This window comes from Homo sapiens, chromosome 16, assembly GCF_000001405.40.
Source record: "Homo sapiens chromosome 16, GRCh38.p14 Primary Assembly".
Lineage (NCBI taxonomy): Eukaryota > Metazoa > Chordata > Mammalia > Primates > Hominidae > Homo > Homo sapiens.
Window position 1 is genome coordinate 86659058 of NC_000016.10, and position 9924 is coordinate 86668981.

At 45.7% G+C, this 9924-nt stretch overlaps 3 annotated features.

Annotated features, from left to right (window-relative positions):
- Positions 4846–6045: an enhancer, noted in NCBI's record as "P300/CBP strongly-dependent group 1 enhancer chr16:86697509-86698708 (GRCh37/hg19 assembly coordinates)". NCBI's record gives its function as "activates an origin of replication core promoter dependent on BRD2, BRD4, P300/CBP, MED14 and CDK7 cofactors, with strong dependence on P300/CBP, by STARR-seq in HCT116 cells {active_cell/tissue: HCT116}" and the evidence as "EXISTENCE:reporter gene assay evidence [ECO:0000049][PMID:35650434]".
- Positions 5822–5951: an enhancer, noted in NCBI's record as "active region_11319". NCBI's record gives its function as "activates an Ori minimal core promoter by ATAC-STARR-seq in GM12878 lymphoblastoid cells {active_cell/tissue: GM12878}" and the evidence as "EXISTENCE:reporter gene assay evidence [ECO:0000049][PMID:35858748]".
- Positions 6052–6101: a silencer, noted in NCBI's record as "silent region_7832". NCBI's record gives its function as "represses an Ori minimal core promoter by ATAC-STARR-seq in GM12878 lymphoblastoid cells {active_cell/tissue: GM12878}" and the evidence as "EXISTENCE:reporter gene assay evidence [ECO:0000049][PMID:35858748]".

Here is a 9924-nt window from a genome sequence, read left to right on the forward strand (position 1 = left end):
GGGGCCACCCTGGGCTATCCTTCTGGGGTTAATCTCATGTTTTCCTCTGGAGCTAGTTCTTGTGCCCTATCTCAAAGCCATAGGTCAGGAAGTCCTGTCCCTTCTAGGAAAAGTGAGAAACTGGAGCTCGAGGGAGAGGAGGAGCCAAGAGGCAGAGGACATCCAGCCACTTCCCAGGGCATCGACTATGACCTGCACATGCAGGTTCAGCCATTCTACTAGTATTCTGCCATGTTTACCCACTTTTATTGGCCATTATTACATTGAAAGCAGAGTAAGCGACTCATCTGAGAATGTAATGAAAACCGTGAACACTATCTTCTGAAAAATGCATGCAACATACCAATCTCTATCTATCTGTCTGTCTACCTATCCATCCGTCTGTCTATCCATCTATATACCCATCCATCCATCCATCCATTCATCCACCCACCCACCCATCCATCCATCCATCCATCCATCCATCCATCCATCCATCCATCCATTCGTCCATCCATCCTTCCATCCATCCATTCATTAGTCCATCCATCCGTCCATCCATCCATCCATCCATCCATCTACTTATTTTATTTTTGAAGTGGGTGCTGGGGTCATGGTCCATGAATGCCAGGGTAAGGCAGTCTCACGGAGTCTCCCTTCCTAAATTAAAGACATCATTGGAACTCAGCCTGAGTCTGTAGTTGAAGTGTATTTTTGTCCTTCCCTGCCGTTTGAAGGCTGGCATGTGGCAAGGGCATCTTTTCTATTGCATTGTATTGTTTCTTGTGTCTGGAAAGAATTCTGCTCTCCCTCTTCTGTGGAAATGACAGTTGGGTATAAAAGCTTCTACACCTGAAACTACAGACTTGAGTTTCCTTTCCAATTCAGATTCAATGCAGGCATAATCTCTGGCTCTTTTGCTGGACTGTCAGTTCTTACTTGTATGTCACGACTGGTGGATTATTGAGAGGAATTTGCTTTTAAAGAAGCACATGAGCCTAGTGACCACAGCTTAAATTCTGGGCTACACGTATGCTGAACAGCCTGTGCACCATCCTAGGATGCCTGGTGAAGGCAGAAGCTAGACTCCAACCCCCCTGCTGCTTGCCATGCCACTTCCACCAGACAGGGCACTATTTTCTGATTCACACGAAAGTACACAGCTTGGGGAGGGTGGTAGTGTCCTGCCCATGTGCCTGAAGAACTTCCAGAAGGCCAGTAGGGCTTCTTCCCGCATCACTTGAGCTAAGCTGCAACCATGTCCCCCAAGTCCCCTCTCCTGTATAATTACAGGTTAGTGTGGTCCACAAGACACATTTTGTGCAAGATTTGAAAGGCAGAGGAGCAGTCACATTCTTCCTGCTTGGAAGGTCCACACAGGACGCCAGGTGCTACATCCGGCAGCTCGTGCATGCCACCTGCCCTGCAGACTCAGCTAGGTGGCTTGGGGCGGCCACCGCCCTAAGCCTCTTTTCTCACCTGACTCCAGGGGGTAGGGATCTGTCCTGTGCAAGAAGGAATGGAATCGTTGCTTGTCAAGCACCCATTCTATTCCAGTTCTGCCTCTATGCACCCATAAACCTCTGTGCCTAAGTGGTTTACTGCTTAACTCTTTAACTCTTTTCAGCATTCCTCTGTTGATTAATCGATCACCTAAAATAACCAAACACCACATGAAGCACGGAGAAATTCTGAAGTTGGCTAAGACCATTTCCTGACTCCAAGAGGACACCTGGCATAGAAGGAGGCTGGGAGGGGAGTGCCAGGCCTTGGCAGGCACACAGCTCGGCCCTTCACTGAACATGTTTCTGTGCAGTAGTAAGCCAGATTTGTGAAATGGTTCTTGCTTACGAAGCACCTCTTGACTCATGAATATTTTGAACATATGACAGTAAGTTAAAGACACTTGAAGTCCTATAGTAAAGAAGCTTGTTCACCCTAGCATCTTCCAAACTTATTTGACCACAAACTCTTTATTTCATGAAATACCTCTTAGCATCGTGAGTACCTGTATGAATGCCATCTAGGGACGCAGACCTTGTTCTCATAGAGTTCTCCTCCTTAATGGCCAGGTTGTCCTGAACAAATGTCACCATCTGTGGACAGTGGGGACAATGGTACCTCTTCTTGCCCCAAGGTCATACCATTTCCTTCTTATAGCAATCTTGTGGGGTGAATATCATTGAGCCTGTTGTATAGCTGAGGCGACCGTTTAGAGAGGGTATGAAACTTAACTCATCTGGTTTATGGTGGAGCCAAGACTCAAAGCAGGTCTGACTGATAGACACAAGCCCGTGGTCTTCTCCATACCATACTGCCTGATGGTCAGGGCCAACTTGTTTTGTTTGTTTTTATTTTTTATTTTTGCGTTTACTCATGTTGCATTCTTCTTTGCTCTTTACTTAATTTCTGACCTCCTGATCCTCATTCCCAGCTGGACTGTCAGTCCCCAGAGGGCACAGATGACTTATAAGCCAGGTGATGTCTCCTCGGTGCCCAGCTGTGCCTAATCCATGGTGTGCGCTCCAAGTTCACTGATCAAATGCACGAGTCTATGTTGTTTTTATTTTCCAGTCAAATGCTCAACTCCTGGTTTTCCAAATATCTGTGCTGAGCCTTGGGGGCCGGGACAGTAGACCTGGCATGCTAGTTGCTTTTCTGATCTCCCTTAAGAACGTTGCCTAGCATTAAACCTGCCCTGTCTACACGCGTAATGCTATGTTTCCCTGCTGCAACCTATGCAGAAGACATAATCCAGAAGTCCTGCTGTTGTCTGATCCACCAGAAAAGGAAAATGTGTTTCTCCTGCATAGAGTTGCAGAGCGGATCTGAATCATTTAGACAGGCAGGCTCCGTGGATGTAATGCTGAAGGAAAGGGTCAATGCATTACTTGACTTCCTGAAGAACTCCTTGGAAATCTGATTCTGTTCATTTGTTTGCACGAATTGATTGGGCGTCTGCCATGTGCTCAGCACTGTGAGCCACTCCAGAGATGTTAAGACCCCAGCCCTTGAGTACGCTTGAATCTATTGTGAATCTATTTAATCAAAGTTTCTTCACTGCCAGGGTTTCCATAGCATCAAAAAAAGTCAGAGAGCTGATTCACTATTATGATTATTTCACCCCAAACCTGCTTTCTATCAAATCATTTGTGTTTTCTAATCTACAACAATATGTATGCTGATGCTTTTCTTTTTCAGAGGGTTTTTGTGAGCTTTCAAGAGGGTAAAAAAAGAACTCAGCAAAATGAATAGTAATTTCAGGAATTTCCAGAGTAAATGAGGCTTTGAGCAGAGCCTATGATCTGTGTGCATAATTCATTAAAAACGAATCACTCTGCAAAACTGGGCAAACCAAGATTTATCCTCAGACTAACTCTGCGTGCCATGTGGTGGCTGTGTCATCCGTGGAGGCTGCTAATGAAGCTCTTTCTATAAATTTGAGAGTAAACAGATTCGGACAACTTTATTAGCTGGGAAAGCAGCAGCGACTATCTCTGCCCAAATCACACAGACCCTTACAGTTCAATTTGGAGAAAATTATTCTTCTAAGGATATGTGTGTGTGTGTGGTGTGTGTGTGTATATGTGGATCATGTACAATTATTTTGCATGATTACAAAGTTACAGAGACACAAACTCCATGTTGTAAATAACTAATCTGTTTCAAGTAAGGGACAAACTAAGAAAACAGAAATAATCATAATTGGGCCAGGCACGTTGGCTCACACCTGTCACCCCAGCAGTTTGGGAGGCTGAGGTGGGCAGATCACCTGAGGTCAGGAGTTCAAGGCCAGCCTGGTCAACATGTTGAAACCCCATCTCTGCTAAAAATACAAACCTTAGCCAGGCATGGTGGCAGGTGCCTGTAATCCTAGCTACTCAGAAGGCAGGCATGAGAATGGCTTGAACCCAGGAGGTGGAGGTTGCAGTGAGCCGAGATGGCACCATTCCACTGCAGCCTGGGTGACAGAGTGAGGCCCTATCTCAATGAAAAAAAAAAAAAAGAAAGAAGGAAGAAAAGAAAGAAAGAAAAGAAAGAAAGAAAGACGTGCTTGCTCTATGGGCAGACTATAACACAGGAAGCCCTTTTCTATGCCTTGTGTCTCGTAACCTCTCCAGCAACCTTATAAGATACTCACCTGAGGCTTACAGAGGTGAAGGGGTTTTTCACCTTACTCATCTTGTAAGTGGCAGACTGAGAATTTAAACTCATTTTTGAGTCCAAAGTCTGTGCTCTTAAAAATTGCATATGGATTCAGAAATCTGCGAAATTATTTTAAAGAAAATTAAACTGGAAAGCATCCTTTTCCTACCAATTTGAATGTAAAAACATCAGATGATTGAAGAAAGAGAAAACTGGACCCACATCATCTAGATTAGATGTGGACAATGCCCATATTCAGGAAAGGTTGCCAATCTTTCATTTTGGCTTTCATAAGATAGATACGACATTTTAAAATTTCTTGTTGTTTCTTTTTTTCTTTTTGTGTGTTTGCTTGTTTTGTATTTAAAAATCATTGTGCTAGGAGACGACCAATTTCAGTTCAGAATTCTGCCTCAAATACCCTGGCTAACATAGTTCTAGATTGTTAATGTGCAGGATTGTTAATGTTAATTCTGCAGGAAGAAGAAGCACAGTCGCTTTATCTGCACCAAGATCCTCATCTGGCATTGGGTCAAGATCACTGGGATGATTTCAAGACTGGTGTGAAAGTGTCATCTAGCCTTAGTCATTTACAATATGTTATTGCAAGCCCAGTGAAAACAACAACAACTAAATTTCACCCTAAAGCATGTTCCTGTGCCTGCAGATTAACCATATGGAATTCAAGAAGTAATTTAGAGCTGCCTCGTTTCAGAGGTGATGAGGATGATTTGTGTACGTCAGCGCCCATGCAAGAGTTCAGTACAGCTCTTGGACAAGTTTTCCCAACTTGTTTTGTTTTGCAACCTGGGACCTTGTTATTCCTTTGTTGGCTTAGTTCTGTTTTCACTGGATTTTGAAAGTGGCTGTTGTTTGGCAGCTTTTCACCTTCTGCTCATTGTGAAAGCCAACTTCAGACGCTGAGGTGCCCTCTAAGAAGACTTCCCTGTCAGGTTCACGGAGAAATTGATCACAGGGTGAGCCCCATCAACTCGTCATTTTCTCCCTGTGGTCTGGATTTTGACAGAAACCTTTGACTTTCTCCTGATGCATTTCTACCTTATTGACTCAGGGGAAAAGTACAGAACATATGAGTATTCCGAATGTTTCCAGAGCGATTATGCTCGCTGGCGAGTGATCCCTTCATGTTGCCACCACATGGAACGCCACCTGTTCCCCCGCCACGGCCTCTTTGGGGAAAACCAGGAAGGGGATGCAGACACGATGGACATTTCAACACAGCGAACTCAATTTCAAGAGAAAAGGGCCAAGGACCTTCCGCCCCTCCACGTTTGCCTCTTTATGTTTTTGATCCGTATTGGAGACCATCTGGCCACGTTTCTGTTCTCTGCTGCTTGTGGGTTGGTTGGCGTTGACTCTGGTCAGAAGGAGAACAGAAAAATCCTCAGGGAAAGTACAGGATGTGACAGAAAACTGAGCTGGTGAATCAGGGGTGGGCTGGTCCCCATTGTGTCAAAGTGCAAGAGTTCTAGAAGGTTGTGGGCAGGAAATGGCATTGCTGAGTCAGTGGGGAGGACTTTGCTCCATGACTCATCCCCCCACGACAGACACACCTTGGGGCACAGACACAGAGGAAACCAAGAAAAGCTTATAGCGGGGTTAATGGGAAAGCTTACTGAGTATTATTGAGTGGGAAACTCTCCCAAACCCCAGGGCATTTAAGGGAAAAAGATATCTAGAGATGCAGCCTTACGTGGGTTCCCTAGAAGTAGACCCTGAGACAAGGTTGCGTGTGAAAGGAAGTTACCAGGAAAGTTATCTGCAAAGACAGGTGGAAGAGGAACTGAGAGGAAAAAAGGCAGGAAGCCAAGCCAAGGTGAGGCTTCAAGCAAAGTCAGCTGAAGATGCCTTTGGCTCAGCCTCTAGGGAGGAAGTCACATCCCAGAGCCAGCCAATCAGAGCCAACAGTTGCAGTATTTGTACCCACAAGATCCCCCTGGGGGCTGTAAACTCCCAGGCACTGCTGGCTTTGCGTACTCTCAGGCAGAGTGCCTTCTGAGGGCAGCACCGGACAAAACGCCCCAGCACTGGCCGCCAGGCAGCTGGTGTCCAAACCGGGTCAGGCAAGAGGGCACAGGGGGGTGTTCGGGGCCAGCTCCCTCTGGGGTGTGAGCATTGCTTCCCAGCTACATGTGTGGAGACAACCATTAATTTAGTTTGATGTCAGCCATGTGGGAGTATTTACACCATGGAAATTGGCAAGTGCCATAATTCGGGGTTTTCTTTTTGAGAGCTCATTGTTAAACATTTACCAGCATGGCTGGAACACTGACAATGTTTGGTACAGACTCATGCAACTGACATTTCCTGAGCATTTCCTAGGTGCCAGGCACTGTTCTAAGCATTTTTATACATGTTAGCTCATTCGATCCTCACCATGACCCAAAAGAAAGAGTACTGTTTATCATCTCCATTTACAGATGAGGAGACCAAGGCACAGAGAGGCTAATGATTTAAAGAGACAGAACTGCCGCCAAGGCTGTCTAGCCCCAGAGTCTGTGCATGCTTTTTTTTTTTTTTGAGACAGAGTCTCGCTCTGTCACCAGGCTGGAGTGCCATGGCGCGACCTCGGCTCACTGCAACCTCTGCCTCCTGGGTTCAAGTGATTCTTCTGCCTCAGCCTCCCGAGTAGCTGGGACTGCAGGCACGTGCCACCAGGCCTGGCTAATTTTTGTATTTTTAGTAGAGACAGGGTTTCACCATATTGGCCAGGCTGGTCTCAAACTCCTGACCTTGTGATCCGCCCACCTTGGCCTCCCAAATTGCTGGGATTACAGGATGCATGCTTTAACAAGAGGAAAGTAAATGTGTACAGGTCATTCATTGCAGCACAACTTATAATTACCAAGTATTGGAAAGCACCAAAATGCCCACAACTAGGATATCCAATGGGATATCCTATGGTACCTCCATACAGTGGAGTACTATGCAGCTGTCAAAAACAGTGAGGCAGTGTGTTATGAACTGCAGTGGAGTGATAGCCAAGGTAAAATGAGTAAAATGACAAGGAAAAAAAGACATAAGCACAAAACGGAAAGCATGTCATACCATGTTTTGGCAAAATGCAGATAATATGCCTCTGGCAAAGAAATGAAGGAACGATAAACAAGGAATAATTCAGGGGCCTCATTACCTACAGGGAGTGGGAAAGCGTGGAAGGGATAGAGGAGGGGGTAAAGCCTCTGAGTATGCTTTTTTCATAGAGTTTTGATTATTGCAACTCTATTAATGCTAATATTTCACCTATTAAAAAATTTAAGTTCATAAGAATTTAAATGTTTTCAGGGGGTGTATGTACATTTGCTGGTGTGAACACTTCTTGGCAATGGTGGTCTTTAGCATGGGGAATTTTCACGTTTTACCTACACGTGTGTGTGGTTTGAAGCGTTCATACCTGTGTGCACTGCTTTGAAGGAAAGCCCTATGACAAAGAAAATGGCATGATGTGTAATTGCTGAGGATGTGAGTGTTGTGGTGGAGGTAAGCAATGAACTCCTGGGGTTGCTACGTGTCAAGAAAATGTTCCTAACACTCAGATTTTGGGAGTGCTTGAAAACAACAGGAAATCACCCAGGAACTGCTGATTCCTGGATCATGATGGAGAGATGATTCCCTCTAGTTGCAGAAGAGAGCGCTCAGGAGATGCCCATGGCTGTATTCCTCCAGCAAGGGGTCTGATAGTGACCCCCAACAGTGGTCTTTAGGCCATGGTGGTGAGCTGTAGGTAAAGGCCTTGTAATCTGGATTTTGTTCAGTCCTCTATTGGATCACTGTTTGATGTGTTCCCATATGTGCCAGATCCTCCCTTGTGGGGCTGGGGACTGGCTGGAGACAGAAACAAACAAGTCAATAGATAAGAGAATGTGAAATTAGACGGAGCTTCCCTTCCCACTCTAAACAGCCCAACCAGGCTGTGGATTTCATGAGAACAGACTCTCTCTGGAGGTTTGTGCTAATTTCTTTTTCCAATTGGGCTGGGAATACCATCAAACAGCTGCTCTGGTGCTGGTCCAGGGCATCTGCATCTGTTTGAACAGCAACTGGGAAGCCTGGAATTTCATGGACACAGGGAAGGGTGGTTTGGAAACCTGCACTTCTGTGCAAGCAGCCTCTGTATTTAAGAACAGTCATATTGCTTCGATTTCTGTCTCGTTCTTGGGGCTGGTTCTGATTGCTTGACCTTGATCACACAGGATGTTTCCCCTTCTCATCTCATGCAGCAGGAAGCATGCCAGGGAGAGGAGATAGAAGGCGTGCATCGGGTCCTGACTCCTCTTCTTCCAAGCTATGTGACTTTGATAGGTCACTTTTCTTCTCTGAACCCCCAAATGATAAAATGGAAACACTAATATCCACCTGCATCTGGGGCTGGATCCGATTGTCTTTTGAGAGCTTGTAACCACTTATCTCTCTGATAAACAGCAGCTCTGGGAATTGAACCCAGATTTGACTATTCAGAGCCAGCATCCTTTCCTCCCATCACCCATAAGCCTGGAGACAAGTGGTTACAGGTATAGACTCCTTGCTTCTCTCTACCCTTTACTGAGTAAGTGACTCAACCTCTTTTCTTCTAAGTTCTCTTATCTATAAAAATGGACTAATCCCCTTTGGGAGGCCGAGGCGGGTGGATCACGAGGTCAGGAGATGGAGACCATCCTGGCTAACACAGTGAAACCCCGTCTCCGCTAAAAAATACAAAATAATTAGCCAGGCGTGGTGGCGGTTGCCTGTAGTCCCAGCTACTCGGGAGGCTGAGGCAGGAGAATGGTGTGAACCCGGGAGGTGGAGCTTGCAGTGAGCTGAGATCACGCCACTGGACTCTAGCCTGGGCAACAGAGCGAGACTCTGTCTCAAAAAAAAAAAAAAAAAAAAAAAAGGGCTAATCATGGACCTACCTCCTGGGGCTGATGAAGGACTAAATATGCTGAACTCTTAGAATGGTGCAATGAATGCTGGCTACTCTGGTCATGGTGCTCTAGACACACAGTTCTTCCAGTTTACTTCACACATGTTGAATTCTTCCCTCTGATTAGCCCAAGGTCTAGACCAGGAATAGTAAATTCACAGCTCATATTCTACCACTCCCACCACTGATGTCAGAGGCAGACATCACCAATCAATCCCCTCTCTCTCCACTGTCTGGGCAGAGTCTCAGAAACTTCAAGGCAGGCACTACTAGTTGACAGCAGTTGAAGCCGCTGCCATTCCCTTACAAAAACGTGTATGGAATCTGGCTTCCTCAGGATGAGCTACTTTTCATGGCAAGCGATGACTCTCCACAAAACCTGAGGTCCCCAGTGCAATCTGGGAACTGTTTGATTGCCTTTCATGAGTTCAAAAGCCATTGTCTCCCAAATGAGGAGGAAAGCTATTTTTGCCAGGAGAGAATGGAGGTAGGATAAGATACTGTTCCTGTTTTCCTAGAGTCAGGAAGAGCCCTCTCGAGGGAAAGTAGGGGGTGTCAGGGTATAATTGTTGACATAATATAATGATCTCTCCCTTCAGCCACTGGCTTCGTTTTACATCTGCTTCTCTTTAGAGCCACTTTGGAAGGAATGGTGACTCTGAACCTCTGGGGGATGGAAGAAAAGAATGCTGCTTTGCATGGACAAACCTGAGTTCGATTCCCAGCGCTGTTTATCGGATGTGGGATCTGATCTTGGGGGGACCTTCTTCAAGCCTCTCTGAGCTTCAGTTTCTGCATTAAAAATGAGAAGAAATGCCAGTTTTGAAGGGCATTCATTAATTCACTACCTATGATGGGCCACACTCTCTCCA